General features: G+C 33.8%; 1 protein-coding gene across 3 annotated transcripts in view, besides 1 other annotated feature; it reads right to left on the reverse strand.

Moving 5' to 3' along the window:
• The window catches only part of SEMA3A (semaphorin 3A), a 536,949-nt gene that overhangs the window by 230,324 nt on the left and 288,876 nt on the right, over positions 1 to 17,749 (reverse strand). For 2 of the 3 annotated variants that reach the window (XM_005250110.4, XM_047419751.1), the window contains one exon: positions 8,375 to 8,568. In XM_005250110.4, coding sequence (XP_005250167.1) covers positions 8,375 to 8,486 — 112 coding nt within the window. In that variant the 5' untranslated portion in view covers positions 8,487 to 8,568. Of the gene's footprint in view, positions 1 to 8,374; positions 8,690 to 17,749 lie in introns of those variants that run through there. The other variant, NM_006080.3, reaches the window with a different exon arrangement.
• Positions 8,803 to 9,610: an enhancer, noted in NCBI's record as "H3K27ac hESC enhancer chr7:83824219-83825026 (GRCh37/hg19 assembly coordinates)". NCBI's record gives its function as "activates a minimal SCP1, AML or CMV promoter by ChIP-STARR-seq in naive H9 embryonic stem cells {active_cell/tissue: H9 hESC(naive)}" and the evidence as "EXISTENCE:reporter gene assay evidence [ECO:0000049][PMID:30033119]".

A 17,749-nucleotide genomic window follows, 5' to 3' on the forward strand; every position in this document is an offset into this window, starting at 1 on the left:
CAAATCCAAAGAAATAGTTTCTGATACAGTAGTCACCACTCTTCTCTACTTTTACCTTCTCATATTTGTCCTATCATTCAAGGCCCACCTTCTTTGGGTCCTAGTTTAAAAAGCCACCCTAAAATCTTTAGGTAGATGTGACATCACCTTTCTCAAAAATTCTACAATATTCACTTTATTTATCCAAGAATCTATTCATAAAGAAATCTGACAGATGAGTTATGTGGCTTTATGTGTCTATTTTATACATAGAACGCAAGTAAGAAATAGTTAATAATGGTGCTTTTGTAAATAAAGTTTGCAGAACTTATGAAAACGTACTTTCATTTAAGCTAGTTCTTAAGGGATAATAACAACGGAACAGCATTTATTCTCTTGAAATTCAAAGTTGAAGGTTAAAAGAAAACAAAATTTCTGACCCATATTATGAAGATTCATAAGCACTTTGACAGCTTGATTTGACCTCAGGTGTAAACAACTTTGTTTTAGCTATGCCCAAATACATTTCTAAGAGTTTGGATTACACTTGGATTACACAATCATTTTTCAATACCACTTAATAACTATGATTTGTACATAATAACAATGCTGCTAGTAGTTGTCCCATTGTCCTTTCCTGGCAATATTTCTACCATGTCACAATAACTACATATTTAAAAAAAAAAAAAGAATTTTCCAACGAACATTGTAAGTTCATTTTATTCTAAATACCAATCTATAGATCTATATATAAGTGGCCTAAGGAAATTAGCCTACTATCCTCTCCCACCCTCTCAATCAGTATCTTAAACAAAGAATTCAACATATATTTTTCATGTTCACACTTTAGCAAATATTCCCATGGTATTTCCTATCACATCTACTCTCTTGAGTAAGTCTGAGGATGGAAGTGGATCATACTCTGAGGCTGTGGAACTCAAGGGCAAGGGAAGAAAAAGGATGACTTGGAGATGTAGCTTAGGGAGCAATGAGCAAGTGTTGCTCTTGACAAGTGTAGGAGGGGAAGCAAGAAAGGCTCTGAACTGCTAAATCTCAGCAAGCTGTCAGAGAGCCAAGTCTGGATTCTCCTAAAAGTATGGACAATGAAAAAGAACCAATTGAAATTACTCAAGGATTACACTTACAACTTCATTTGGTAGAACTGATTTGATCTTCACAAACATTCAGATACAATAAGACTGAGAATGGGATACTTTCACTTATCTTTAGCTACTACTTGGTTTTAGAGTAGAAACCTCACTTTCTTTTCTGGCTGTATATACTGTGACCTGATAAGAGGACAAGGAAAATCTGGGTTTTTGTCCAAAGGAATGCAATAATTCCTCAGCCTGGTTCCTGATTCCTAGAGCCTTCCAACATATTTATTGTATGTTTCCTATCTCTTAGCTGCAGACTAACAAATATGACCTGGATATTTTCTGATTCAGTTCTGGAATAGGTGTGGTTCAGAAGGAGATACTGTTTATGGAGATAGTATTACTCTCACAATCCTTTGTGCACTCTTAAATGCCTTGACTGATATCTTCCTGCCCTAGCACCTAACACTAAACTCACTTTCTCTACTATATATTATAATGCACAATTCATTTATAATGAATTGATTTATTGTAAATTTTCATTCTTATTATTTCCAAAAATAATTTTGTTTTATTAACAGGCATATTATTTGTTAATTTTTAAAAGGTGTGCCAAATAAAGCACAAAATCATTCAACAATGAATAATTCTGTGCTAGCCATTGAGAATATAAAGATGAAAAATACTACATACCCAGCCTTTAGAAACTCAGAATCTGGCACAAGATGATTCACATAAGCAGTTTCACAGACTAAATGAGTCAATTGACATATTCAATAGAATGAAACTTCATTTGGCTTGCTGATGAAGACTCCAGTGGGTCATGTTATATTTTATCTAAAGACATGTTTATGATTGCTGCAACGCTTTAAGTTACTCTAAGTTTTGGTCAACATAGTTTCCCACGCCACATTTCTCCAAGCAAGGGAAACCTGGAAATGCAGGTTTAATGACTCATTCAGGAGATGACAAGATTCCTTAAAATGTGTGGTTCCTTTAAATTTTACCCTAAGCTTGTAAAAACTCCCAAGACCAAACTATTCTTCATATTTATCAACAGGATTTTATTTTTGCTTATCTTCATTCCCCAATTCAAGTATAAATTGTATATTTCCTTATCCTGGGTTTGACAGACTCCAGCTTTGTTACTGTTTGGAAATAGTGTGTGGATTGCCTATTTATACTGATGTTTATGTCTTGGCAATAGTGGGAGATAGTAGCTGGAGACATTCATACTTATTTGTGTCAGATAGAATTTATTGATTCTTCTATATGCTTAATTAAGATAACAGTGTTAAAGAACCTACAGATTAAAAGGAGTCAGTCTTTTAAAAATATACCAAATGCCATTTTCTTAACATTATTTTACTTTTTCAACTACCTACTCTCCAACTATAAATGGCTGTAATAATGTGCCACAGGCAGGCTACTTCATTCTTGGTAAGCACACATCATATAATATGTGATACTTAATATATACAGGCACATGAATCTCTGCTTCCATCATTCTAATTGTTTAGTACCATTGTTTCATTCACTATTTTGTTTTACATTTTACAGATTAATTTCACATATCAAGCCTTATTTAAGTTTAAATGTATGTATTTGCTTTTTACTTAGAAATATTTAGTTTTTCAGGATCAAAATGTACCAATAAATGCATGCAAAGAGCACATCAATATCTTTAGCAAATTTCATTTTAAGTAATTCTTCTGTTTTGTGAATGTTAAATTTCATGACTATTATGCCAATTTTTCCAAACTTGGTCTGCACACCTTATTCTGTGCATATTTACCCTAGTAGCCTGCCCATTTCCAAATTAATGAAAGAGCTGTCACAAATTGCTAGTGCCACCTATTAGTGGAAGCATAGAACTGCAAATCATGGTAATTCCTTTATATAGTGCATTAGAAATCATGAGGGGTAAAAGTCATCCCAAGAATCACACTTGTTCTAATGTATGTTTACAACTGCTGGTCTTTTTAAAATAAACCTTCACTACAAGTGCAAAACTTATTTCAATACTGTCATGAGTTTTGGAGATTTTACCTCTATAACTTTGTAGCAATGAATTATTTATCACATATTACTTTTTCATAAAGGTTTGACAAGAGCAATGTCTTAGTTGATTAATATGTAACTCTGTAATATCATGACTTTGTAAATAGAAGTTGTTGGATAATGATCAATTCAAAATTTATATCACTATTAGTCATTTTGGAAGATTTTGTAAAAATCAGATTAAACATTATTCAAAATAATCCTGACTTTAGATTTTGAAATTCTTCAAAAGTTGTGAAGGTGTGGTATTTTGACTTTTGGAGCTATGATACAAAGGTGTGTCACTGGAGTTAAAATGAGAAAAATTGGGATAATTTAAAATACACAATTTCTTACAGGCAACTTAAAATTCATGATAACTTTAAAATGCAAGTTTCTTAAAATGCAAACCTGAAAACATGATAGAAAATTTAATGCCCTATACAATTATTTATTCACATTAAGCATAATAGCCTCCATAACAACAATTTAACATTAATTTTTATTACTAGGAACATATGCAATCATATTAATTAACTCTAATTAAACGTATTCCTGAAAGATCCATGAAATACATTAAATCTTTACTATAGAATTTAAGTATAATTGACCCCAAATTATAATACATGATTTATATAATAATTAAAATCAGAAAATAAAGGAAAATTAGATATCACAGATCAATATATCTGTTTAGTTTGCTAATATTTTAGTAAACTACGTATTTCATGTCACTGACAATAGTAGAACTCTAGAAATCAGTCACATGAAGAGAAAAAAACCCTAAAAAGTTAGAATTGGGAAAATTATCTATTCAGTATTCATATTTATTTAAGTTGTTAGTGACTGAATATCATTATTAAAGCTGGTGAGTTAGAGGCTTACATGAATTTGTTTTGCGGTCTCAGTTATTTTCTTGATTGCTAAAGTCTACACTGTATAAATTCTTTCAAAGGTCAATCTGGTTGTCAGCTTTAAGCAGAGAATCCACAAATTGGAGATTTTTACAAGCCCTCATCTGATCTGACCAGCATTGAATCACAAGATGTGTGACTAAGTGTTTTATTTTATGTTCATTTTACATTATTTGCCAGGGTATACTTGTTGAATAGATGAATAAAAAGTTCTAGTTTTCAGTGTGTTTAAATTCAAGATTTCAGCATCAAAACATGATTTATAAGGTTAATAGAATTTGAGAAGAAAAGGTCATCCAAAGTCCTGGTGACAAATATACAGTGAGTATTTGAGAAAAGTCATTGCAAATAATTGATAACTTCTTTGCTCTATGCATGTGTGTATGTATGTGTGTGAGTGTGTGGGTATGTCTTCCCCCCACAACTCCCACATATGTTTCCTAAAAACATTCCATTTTAGCTGTGAGCAGATTTTTAGGGTAAGACTAGCCCTATCTTATACTATTATGTGAATGTTCAGGACATCCATGAAAACTTTTCATGGGACACAAAAGACAACACCCACTCTATTATTTATATATATATATGTATATATATAATATATATACACACACACATATATATAATTTAAAATATCAATGTCATTTTAAACCAACAATTTACGAAGAATTGTATTGTGATTCAGAACTTGTAGATTGCTGAGGTTATTTTCACAATTATAAAATGAAGTTATTTTCTGAATTATAAAATCATAAAATGAAGTTATATTTCCTATGTATTGAAATATATGGTATATGTATACCTATGTGTACACATAAATGTATTGGTATATACACACACACACACACACACACAAATACTGCTCTGGTGAAAGTAAAGAAAATCTTAAAGGAAAGACAAGAAGTTTAATTAGAAAATCATTCATATTAATTAATTTTTGAACTAATTGTAATTTATTGAACAAAAGGTAAAGAACTTTTGCAAATTTTACCTCAGAAATTTTAACTAAATAAAATGATCTTCTCTTGTCACACATATACATATGAGAATTTTTATTTAATTGATAACCTCATTCTTATAATAATACCTTGACTCTGAAAAAAAAAAAAAACAACTTTAGAAAATAGAAAAAAGAAAGCTTTCAGAAGGCCTACCACTTTTTAAAGTGCTATTTACTAAGTCCTTCCTATGAAGTTAAGGTTAAAATCATTGATTTAACCTTTGGATTCACAGGATCACCATCACATTGAGACTTGCATGTGTCTTTGATTTCTACCAAAACTGAAGCACATAGTGTCCTGGAATAGCCCCTTACATTGGATGATGGAATATTTGTCATTTGTTTAAAACCCAAACCCTAATTATTTTCTTGTGATTCATGCAGGTTTTTCTGAAGACTTCATTGTATCACATATCCCAAATGGAAGATTATATGATTTTCCTGTATTTCATGAGAAAAGTGAAATTTGACTAGTTTTGTAGAAGAAATAAACATTTATGCATGGACCACTTTTTAAAAGAAGGATTTTACCATTTAGCTATATTACATATATTTAAAGAAGACAAAAGTATTTCTGAGTAAATGTTTCTTAAGGATAATTTCTATGTAACTGCTGAGATTTACAGAGTTCTCACATTTTCTTCCCCCATAAGGATTCTAAATCAAATTGGTTCAGAGGAAAAGCCAGCATACCCCATTTTTCTAATATTATCACTTCTCCAGATGGTCCTGAACACATCTATTCAATTCCTTTTTCCTAGAAAGTAAAGAGGTATCTTATTAGATATGTACACCCGCTACAAAGGCCACTTTCCTGTTTTTACTTCTTTTTAACATGTCAAGTCTCTTTCATCTCCTACCAGGCAAAAATGATAAGTAGAAAGTAAGCACAGTGATTGCCAGAAACTTCATCTTGGCAACCTGAGCAATGAGAGAGTTAATGGTGGATCTTTGAAAACAAGTGACCATGGGAAATTAAGGTTGGCAGGGATTTAACTCTTCATGAATCATGCTGGAATATTTTTAAGGGCAATGCAGTGGATGTTTTAACTGTGTTTGACATCTAATTAAGGAGAAACAAGAAGTAGCTTTAAAAAAATCTCTATTGTACTTTAGAAACAAAGTACTGGCAATTGGCTACCACATACTTGCTTTGGCCAAACAAACGTACATGTAGAGACAAAAAGGTAATGACAGATTAATAAAATAACAGAAAAAAATTTCCTCAGGCCATTCCTTTTATTCTTCTTCCTGTTGTTCATTTCACAGTTTATTTTACCAAATTATTAAGCTCTAGGTGTATCAATGGGATTGTTATGTAGCTGTAAAGCAGTTTTTTACTTAAAGGAAAGCAGAATAATTCTAATGGATGCCATCACTAAAACAAGGCTTATAAAGACAATATCAAATATATACACCTTGCTAATATATACTGCTTGCTTCATCAGATAGGTTTAAGGCATATGTGTACAACAAAGGATATTCAAATTAAATGTAATATTTTTAATGTACAGAAAGAACAAGTGCCTCCTCTATCATGGAGAGTAACCTATTATCATGGAAATAAAATTCTTGCAAAATAAAAAAGTTTAATTCCCTATTTTTATTTTATTTTAAAATGAATTTAGCACTTAGATATATTCAAGCCTAGCAGATTTTTAAAATATATATCATGATTTTAAACTTGTTAAACTAAAAGTATTACAAATAGCCAGTCACATCTTTGAGAACTAAAGTTGCATGTAAAACTTATAGGGAACATAAACTTGGATAAAGTGGACCATCAACTTAGACTTATTTGATGTCACCTTGTCAAGGAGTGAAAACAGAAAGCAAAACTGATAAAAACACAGACACCATAATATCATATACTATGGAAATAATTTAAAGACAGTTACTAAATTAATTAAATAACGCTACATGATTTTTTAAAACTTACATAAGTACAATTGCACTTCTGTTTGTTGATGTTTAAGTCTCTATTCCCAACTTGATACTCAGGAAAACATTACACCAAAAAGTAAATAGATATTCTAATTCAATGCATTTCATTTAACGAGCACTAAGTCCAAAGAAACACATTACTAGGTGTTTAATTTTCTAATTCAAAGTGTGAAAATTACATCTCTCTTCTGATTTGAGATCCTCATTCACACTAGGGCATTCAGAAAAAGATGTTCCCCATCATATGAGAATTAAAGAATATGTTTTGTGGCATAAGAGCAAGGTACAGTAGACAGACATCTCTACAAATACCTTCAATAATTTTTATTTTAACTTATAGGCTAAAAAATAAGCTTAATTAGAGCTTCTCACTGCTCCACCCCCAATTTTAGAAATCTGAGAATCATAAGAAATCAACACCTTAGGGAGTAAAACTACTTGAGTTAAAACAGTTTAATCTTCAACTCCATTTTAATAATACCTGAGTTATAGAAAGATTTACTGCCACTAAATGTATGTATATCATTTTGGGCTCTACTTTAGCATTACTTTACACATCATCTATCTATAAGACCTATCTAAGCAAATGTGGAACAAACATAAAAAATCCTCAATAAAAATAAGCACATACATTAAATTGTAACCAAATAAAGCACTAGTGATAAAGCTCTTTTTTCTCTCTTTAATTTATACTTTTCAAAAGAGAAGTTTACACAACTACCTATGCAAGCAGACAGTAATGTGTCTGCAGTTCTCACTGAAGTACATATAGAATTAAATAACATAATATTTCAAAGACTTTAGCTTTACACAATTAGCCAAATACAGTCTTTTGTACAATCATAAGGCACTGTGGAAAAACTAGTCTGTTCCATCCAGTTTATGTTCTCTTGGCAAACCATGATCTACTGCTTATGTTAAGCATCTGATTGTCAGATTTGAACAAACTGAATATTCATGATGACGATTAACCATTTCATGTCTAAAACTAAGAAAATGCAATTCATCATAGTAATTATAGGTAAGGCATGCACATCTACAAAGAGACCATTTTTGCATTTCTATTTTTAAGAAAATATTTTAATAGAATTAAAGTCGGAAAAATTAACAGGCATAAGATAGGATAATAAGATATACAGATCAGCGTGTACCAGGCATACAGCTCTTTTCAGCAAATGTGATTAAATGTTCTTTGTTTGCATTTAAGTTGTCATATATCAAACAGAAGACATGCTTTTTACAAAAAGCGTTTAAAGCATCTCAGAAAGATACACATAATCACGTCGGTTTACCAGGTTAAACTAAAGGTTTGATGATTTGGGGTTGGGAGGGAGTTCAAGGAATTAAGGGGGGGGGCGGTTATTACAAAGCTAACCAAATAAAAGAAAAATAAGATTTACCTTTGTAGGATAATTTCAGCCTTGGCACATTGTTCTTCCCATTCTGATAGTTTGCTCTTGCTGTAAGTAATACTCCCCAGAAAAGACAGACAATCCTAGTTAACCAGCCCATGCTGCAGACGCTGTAGGTCCCTTTGCTGCTTTAGTCTTCCTTCCTGTATTGTGCGGCCAGAGAAGTTCAAACAATCTGGAAACTGGAGGTAACAGGTGATTTAGGTCAGTTTCATTCATAAATGCAGACAATCAAGACCTCATGGCAACACTAACACCTCTTCTTCTGTAACAGTCACTGAAGCACAGAAACTTCAAACCCTCCAAAAAGAAAAAAAAAAAAAAAAATTCCGAGCCAGGCACCGGATAATGAGGCACAACTGTTGTGTGGAAAGAAAAAAAAAAAAAATTAACAAGGTCTGCTGCAGTGGTGCTTAAGAAGCAGTTCCTTTTATCTAAGCTCCTCTGATAGCCGGTGGCAGTCTCTAATCCTGCTCCCTGCTTCATTCGGCTCCGGGGAAGCAGAATGAAAGGGAAACAGAGAGAGAGAGAGAGAGAAAGAGAGAGAGAGAGAGAGAGAGAGAGAGAAACCGTGAGCAGCGCGGACTTTTCCTGTACGCATGTAGAGGGAGATGACACAAGATCCCACAGACAGGTTTCCCCAACACTCACTAGACTGGCTGACAATGGGAGAACAGGCGAGCTCAACCTACTCCCCTTCCCTCCTGTCACACAACACATGCAAAAAACATCTCGTAGAGATTAGAGCCGGGAGCAGAACCCTCAGGCGTGCCTGTGAAAGGCATGTAGCTATAAATTTACTTCCCAAGGCAAGCGTTGTTTTATAGCCATTTTTGGGTGCAATTTTGATTTTAAAAATCTGAATTCTGCTACCTACAAAATTTACAATTCATGCTCATTATACAATCCTGCTGAACTTGTGCATTGTATGTGTGCGTGTGTGTGTGTGTGTGTGTGTGTGTGTCTATATATCCTCATCAATACAACTTTAACCACTGAAGGTTTTAAAGCCTTGTTAGAGATCATTCCCTCCTCCCAACAAACCCCCTGGGCTCAACCACCCCCTTCCTCTGTCCCACTGCAATTTCAGGGAAGAAATTCCTACTAAAGCCCATTCCAACAATCAGTTCAAGACAAATATAGGTCCTTTGAGAATTATAAATTACAACGGGGGATTCTCAAAAGGATACTCAGAATTTAAAAACGTCTATGGTTTTCCAGCTTCTGGAATGCTCTGGCTAACATTTTCAATGCATCACATCTCATTAATTAAAGACACTTCCCTAGTTTTGGTTTAAAGGGCAGCGGAAGATGACAAAGTTCACAAAAGTCCCTGCTGAGTGTCAAGGAGTAACATGAAAAGAATATCTCTGTGTCTTCATGAGCTGCTGAAGGGTTACTAAATTTTCTGTGGGACGTATAGGCATGTATTCAGGCAGTCATATGAACACCATTAGTTCCTTCTGAAACAAGTAGTTGGCTGTGGCCTCTCAATTTTCTCTCTTATTTTTCATTCAGTTTTCCTCAAAGCTGATATTTTTACAAGAATCTTTAGGGGATGTATAAAAAAGTTAACAGGACAGAACTTTCTCTCCTTTATTCCCCAAATGATTCTGCCCTACCCCCTCCTACCACCACTCCCCACCCCCCACCTCCAGAACAGCACTTGGAATCCAGAGACTCAACTTCAATAGTAGGGAAACTTCTTGGCTGAAGGGAGAGAGTGAGTCTCACAATTAAAAACATAAACACCTACTGAAAGTGGCTTAGTATTCTTAAGAAAATGATCTAAGCATTGTCACTACAGCTTTCATTACTTAATGTCCACAGACCAATAGAGAAAGCACAGCGCTCGCTCGCTCTGCTTTCTCTCTCTCTCTCTCTCTCTCTCTCTCTGTCTCTCCCTCTCTGCCGTTGGATGTGTGGCTTGTGTGAATGTAGGTGGAGAAGGAGGAAGAGGAGGATTTAAAGAGGGGGAGAATGGGGAAAAGGGAGTAGGAATTCTCTCTCTACTTCACTAGATTGACTCATCAAACAGATCTTATTGTATTTGTCAGTTTCCTCAAGCCTATTGATCAGCCAGTATTGTTAAGAAAATAAAATCCAAAAATAATGTTGATTTTACTGATTCCCACACTTGTTATACTAGGCACTTTCACGCTCTAGGCAATGGATTAAGGCTACAAATGACAAGAGGCTTGTCTGTCTTCCATGGATTACTCTCTATAGACATTCATTCTGCAGAGGAATTCATGTCGCTTTGGGATTATTTCAAGGATTGGACTAATGAATTATCCTATTGAAATCTCACATATAATTAGTTTAAATGCTTTAAGTAGTTTTACCATTTTCATTAGTATATATTTTATATGTCTTAAAATATATTTATATTTTTACTCTTGTTTTCTAGAATAGAAGAGCAAGTTTTTGTCAAAACTAAACAGGATAATAAAATTTATAAGTGTATCCATTTCACCTGTGTAATGTCTAATCCTAAAACATTTTTATATGCTCCAAATAAAACAAAAGGCTGTAAGTAAATTTAGATAAAAGAGGGTCAAAAATGGCTCCATGGGGGAAGAAAAACATAAAATCTGGATTTTGAACCACAAAATCAGGACAAAGTTATTTCATTTCATAAAATGAATAATTTAAATTAATGTTGACACATGGAAGTTGGTAGCACAGACACCTCCATATACACACGATTTTTTATAAACTATGATATGATTATTTATATTTGATATTTTTCTTATCCTCCAAATTATTTATGATCTTCCTGTTTTTCCAGATGTTTAAAAGTTTCATAGGTTTGCATTTATATTTGCTTTTCTGCAGATTTTTTATTTAAGAAATGTAAAAATAGTATATTCTTCAGGCAAACTAACTGTCCTAGACTGATTAAATTATAAAATACTAGAAATGTCTGGCCACACACAGATAATTCAAATGTTAAATAAAAAATGAAAGAAGAAAGTAAATGCCTGAAAAACACTCACAAAAGCATTTGGAATATTATATTTCTACTGCCTTCTCATTCGACTTTGCTCAGAGTTGAATAAAATTGTTTAACTTTTTTTTTCTTAATATCCCCAAATACCTGAGGATAATCAAACTTCAACTTATTTCTCAACTAAAGTAGAAGCAAGGTATGGGTGGACCTGGATGGGCGGTGTCAGAATCTATCGGAATCTGGCTGCATGTGTACAATGCAGATTTTAATCCACTCCTCCAAAGATCACTCTTTTTTTTTTTTTTTTTTTTTTTTTTTGAGACGGAGTCTCGCTCCGTCCCCCAGGCTGGAGTGCAGTGGCGCGATCTCGGCTTACTGCAACCTCGGCCTCCCGGGTTCAAGTAATTCTCCCGTCTCAGCCTCCCGAGTAGCTGGGACTACAGGCACACGCCGCCACGCCCAGCTAATTTTTTGTATTTTAGTAGAGACGGAGTTTCACCGTGTTGCCCAGGCTGTTCTCAAACTCCTGAACTCAGGCAATCTGCCGGCCTCCGCCTCCCATAGTGGTAGGATTACAGGCGTGAGCCCCCGAGCCCGGCCAGATCACTCCTTACTCTGAGAATCTGTGGCCTAAATTCTGAAATTAGAAAACTTACTGTATTTGACACCATACACCATAACCATTGATTTTATTTTACTGTATCACTTACTACTTTTTAAAAGTCACAAATATTATATTGGCCTTTTTTTATTTTTTTATTTTATTTTTTGTGGAGACGGAGTTTTGCTCTTGTTGCCCAGGCTGGAGTGCAGTGGCACGATCTCGACTCACCGCAACCTCCACCTCCTGGTTTCAAGTAATTCTCCTGCCTCAGCCTCCCGAGTAGCTGGGATTACAGGCAACTGCCACCACAGCCAGCTAATTGTATTTTTAGTAGAGACAGGGTTTCACCATGTTGGTCAGGCTGGCCAGGTTGGTCTCAAACTCCTGAACTCAAATGATCCACCCACCTCAGCCTCCCAAAGTGCTGGGATTACAGGCATGAGCCACTGTGCCCGGCCTTATATTGGCCTTTTAACATTGAATTTTATTTAAGGTATAAGTGAAATATTCTTATTTATTTCTTCCTCTAAGTAGCCTATTTTCAATTATTTTCTAACCCACAATTTACATAGTGTACTATATGTAACTGTATTTGTAATTGAGTGTCTAATATGTTCTAACAATTCGAGCTTTCAAATATGATTAACTCCTGCCGTGGAGTTACATTTCAGCAGGTGCTTAATAGGATGATCATGCTGTTGTATACTTTTCTGTCAAATAGATCAGTAGTTTTTAACCTCACCTCCCTCTGTACTGGGAAAGAGTGCTAAAATTTTTGACAGTGGCAACTTTCTGGATGGTGTGCTTGATTTTCTAGAGGATCAACACTTCCCATTTCACAACAGGTTAGTTAACTTGTTTTTCAGTAAAGACCTCTGTAGTCATAGAAGATACGTATTAAAGTATTTACACATTGGCTATGTATTTTTTATCTTTTCAGGTATTGGATGAAACCAATGTGTCTAATTTTAAAATGTTCCCTCTCTATATTTTGCTATTATTGAAACAAATTTGGATAATAATAAACACTGTAATTTAAGAGCAGCGCTGTTTCCTAATTTGTGAGATAGCCGTCTAAGTACTTTCCTTGGTTATACATACCCTGAATCTCTCTGTGAATGGTTAGGTAGAAATACTAGCTGTATTTGTCCAGAAAAGAATATAAGGAGAAATTGTGTTTTAGATGTATTTCAAAGATTTAGTGGACAAAATGTACCTGAAGTTAGGATGCACTTGATTAAATAACCTCACCTCTTTCTGCAAATCACCTTCCATACCCATTTCATTGTGATCAGATACAGGAAATCCCCAAAAGTGTGCCACCCTCAGAAGCAGATGACCTCTTTAAAGGAAATTACTAAGTTGGGAATTTTTAAATGAGTTAGTTAATCTGTTCTTCTAAGAAATAACACCAAAGAGGAAACCAGTACTAAAAACACAAATTTTAGTATTCTTGGCAAGGTGTTTTTCAATTGAGACATGTAAAAAACATATTGTTTCTCAATCAACATCTGTTATTTCCGTTTTTTTTTTTCTTCAAGGAACGCTTCATTAGTATTTGAGAAAGGCTTACAATCAACAGAATTTCAGCAAATGTCATACTCAAACATTTGCCTTGCTCTGACTTCTGATGTTGGAAATTCATTTTTAATGAAGGTTTTTCTATACAAGAAATTTGAACCTTTCTTTTTTCTAAAAAAGAATTCTGTGGGTGAAAAAATTCTTTAGACGATCAGAAGACACTCTATTAATTGGAGAAAATAAATAGTTGATGTATTATTCATTCTAGCCAAAAATGATAGTGATTTAGGAACTACTGTAGTTGTTGCTGGAAACCGGGGGTGGCAGGTTAAAAGCAATGTTTAAGAAATTAAGTTAAACTTTTTAGAATCTGACCCTTATGAATGCTTTCAGTATAAGCAACATGTGAAAGCATGAGTTGAGAGAAGGAATTGATAAAATGCAAAGAGAATTCAATCTGTAGGGAAGCATTAACTCTTCCCTCTCCCTTTGACTCTCCCACCCCTCCATGCCCTGACCCACCCTCATCATGAATAGTGATTTCAGTAAAAGAAGCTCTTCCTTCCCCTGGACTGAATTTGTAACAGTTGGGGGAAAAAAAAAAAGTTTTGTGTTTTCCTGTTTTCTTTTGCAATATTAATGTTTATGATACTTTAAGGTAAATAAGGACTCAGAACATAAAAATATTCCTTGTTTTTCAAATGAATTGATGTGATAAGTCTTAATATTAAAACAATACAGAAGGAGACCAGAAACTGTTCAGATAGTCATTAATGATGGCGGTAGAGTGGAAGAAAATCCTAGACAATTCAGGGAAAGTCTTCTAGCGGTAAACTGTCTTTTCCCTGAGAGTTTGAGTAATGGAGCCAGTAGGTGAATTTTATTAGGTTGGTAAGTTTGAGTGGAGGATGAAAGAGAGTGACAAGAGAAGGGATGCATAAAATTTCATAAGTTATGGTTAGTATCCCACTTGCCAAATGTAGCTAAAATACGGTTATAGAAATGATTTATCACTTCTATGGTCTCTCTTTTCTTTTGTCTTCTTAAATTCAACACATTTTTAACATTTCAGAATGTTTCAAAGTGGCATTTTCTCTTTGCCATTTCTATCTGCTTAAGGGTCTTGTCATCACTACAGCTACTTTGTGAGATTATCTGAAGAATGAATGCAGTGTTCCTGAATATTAATATATTAAAAGCAGTGAAACACTGAAAATACCTGGGTTTTTTTTCCTTTTTTTTTTTTTTTAAGTGAGAGTCTCCACCTCAACTCAAATGGAACAAGAAAGTTTTCAAGTGAGACAAAAATCCCATTGTTAATACTGATCAGTACAGGCTAGGCAGTGAGGAGGAAAAAATGAGGCATCTGTGGAATACAAATGAAATGAGCAGGTTGGCTATCGGGTGTTTCAGGATATTAACTTATTAGCTGTTTGCTTTCAGTAAAGGCATATCACACACATTTTCACTGAATAAATAAATAAATAAGTCGGTCTACACTAAATAAACAAAGTGAAGAGACTAAGCAATATGGTTTAAAGGATTACTTTACATCTGACTCACGCAAAGCAGATGCATAGAGTTCCCCTTTGTTATCCACTGAAAAAGAATGTTGCACCTCAGATGTAAGTTTATTACAATCTCTATGGCCTAGGAAGAGGACTTTTTTCTTTGTCTTAAATGTTTTTAATGAGCTTGAAGCTGGTAAGAATAAAGAACAGGAATGCTGAAACCTAGAATTAAAGCTCCTTAAAAGGGTTTATTATAATGGCAAAATCAACTGTTTGGTAAATGGTGATTCAAAATCTACAGTGCATTCTGCTTTTTAAGGGCACAGATTTCTGTAAGTTGCAATAGTTAGAAAAAAAATGACTTCAATTATTTTTATTCCATATTGTCTGAAGTGTAAAACATCATTTGATCCAGTTTATGCTTCTTTCCCCGCCCCCCAATGTGTAGAGTAGCATTATATTCCAGGTTTAATTTCACTGCCTTGGCTACAAAAGCAGCTGTCACCTTATGGAGGAGATTAGAAAATGCCTTGTTTATTAGTTAACAATGTTTTTATTATTGACAATAATGTGTTTTTAAAAATTCCATGTTTTTCTTAGAGCATATCCATAGAACTAATCTCTTTGAAAATCAATCAACATAAATTCATTTTCCTTTTCCTGTTGTATCAAACAGAACAGAAATAACATCCAATATGTCTAACTTTGAATCTTCTTAAATTACAGATTCAAGGTGAAAAAGTTTGACTTGAGGACTTAAGTGACAATGTGAGTATTCCCTTGGTTGATTTTTTAAAGTTGATACATAACTTTGGTGACTTAAAGCACTTTAAAGATCCCCAAACATCTAATTAAAGTTTATAATCTTCCTTTTGAGACAAAAACGATGTTCTCCCAATGCAATTGTGTTCTCACATACACTTTGCCATCTCAACTAAAGCTTTATCAGTGAACTGTCACAATGTGCTGATTATACATGAGGAAAACAAATTTATTTTTTTATCCTATGATTTAAAACAATGAGTGTAGTTCTCATTGTGTAACTTTGTTGAAATGATATTTGATATTTTTGATAGAATTGTACAACATGGCAACTATAGTTTGCAATATATTGAATTCTAGAAAAATGCTAAGAGAGTGAATGTAAAGTGTTCTCACCACAAAAGTGATAACTATGGGAGGAAATGCATATGCTAATTAGCTAGATTAAGTCATTCCACATTGCATACATGCTTTAAAACAATATGTCCTATACAGTTAATACATCCAATTTTATTGTCAATTTTAAAAATAATAAATAATAATCTGATATTTTAGTGGTCTAATTTCATCTATTAAATATTCACTGCACATTTACTGATGCTGTGAAGCCTCTTTCTATTCTGTTAAATCAAAATTGCAATCACTTATGGAAATAGGAAAACTGAAATTGAACAAACCAAGTTAATGTGGTAGTCTCTTTCTTGGGCTGTTGACATGACTTGGTAGGTGCTTGCCACAGTGTGCAATCCAGCGCACTTAATTTGTTTCCAGAGAAATAATTTCAAATATACTCTTTCTCTACCCTCAAAACTGGTAACCATTGAAAACATTTTACTTATCACATACCTTGCATTGTTTCCTTTATATTTATCCATTCATTCAACAAAATTTTGAGATATGTTTAGGCGCCAGTCTTTGTGACTTACAAAACTAATCACAGGTTATTTTTTTAGGATACAGATGTATATTCCTAGTCATGAATGTCCTAATGCCAATTTATCTCTTTTTTCCCTGCCCCAAGTTATATAAACCATCTATAAATCTTTCTGTATCTATTTTGGCATAATGTGCTTAATTTTTTAATACATCTATACTGTTATACTCATTTCATTAATTCCTGTGTTGTTTTTCATCCCTTCTAGTAATATCTTCTCTATTCTTCTAGAAGACTCTAGCTGATGACAGATTGTCTACATATTTTGTTGGATTACTCATGATTAAGGGCTATTGTATTCCCCTAAAGCTAATCTGCCTACAGTTTGCATTAGGGACTCAGGATATAAGATTTTGCATTAGGGACTCAGTATATAGGATTACTTTATATATTTTTGAAAAAGCCTTGCATAATACATCACAATATTTTGCAAGTATTCTAGGAGCTCCTTCTTCCTATGTTTCTACGGTGTTGAGTGCATTTATCTATTATAGTTCCTATTGCTTTGTATCACATTTCCTCAGTGGACTCTAAATTCAAAGGGAAGAGAAGCCTTTTTTTTTCTTATTTTATTTTTAATGCTCAGCATAGAATTTGGCACAGAATAAAGCCTATCCTATTAATTAATGGATTAATTAATTAGTCAAGGGAAATGTATACTAATTAAAATATTATGTTCAGAAATCTCCTAGTTTTAACAGTTTTGTAGAAAGTATTTCTTTGTGTGTGTGTATATATATATATATATATATATATTTTTTTTTTTTTTTTTTTTCTGAGATAGAGTTTCACTCTTGTTGCCCAGGCTGGAGTGCAATGACACAATCTCGGCTCACTGCAACCTCTGTCTCCCAGGTTTAGGCAATTCTCCTGCCTCAGCCTCCCAAGTAGCAGGGATTACAGGTGTGTGCCACCACACCTAACTAATTTTTTAAATTTTAGTAGGGAGGGGGTTCACTAAGTTAGTCAGTCTGGTCTCGAACTCCTGACCGCAGGTGATCCAACCGCCCCAGCCTCCCAAAGTGCTGGGATTACAGGAGTGAGCCACAACACCTGGCCTCTTTGTAGATATAATTGC

This window comes from Homo sapiens, chromosome 7, assembly GCF_000001405.40.
Source record: "Homo sapiens chromosome 7, GRCh38.p14 Primary Assembly".
Classification (NCBI taxonomy): Eukaryota; Metazoa; Chordata; class Mammalia; order Primates; family Hominidae; genus Homo; species Homo sapiens.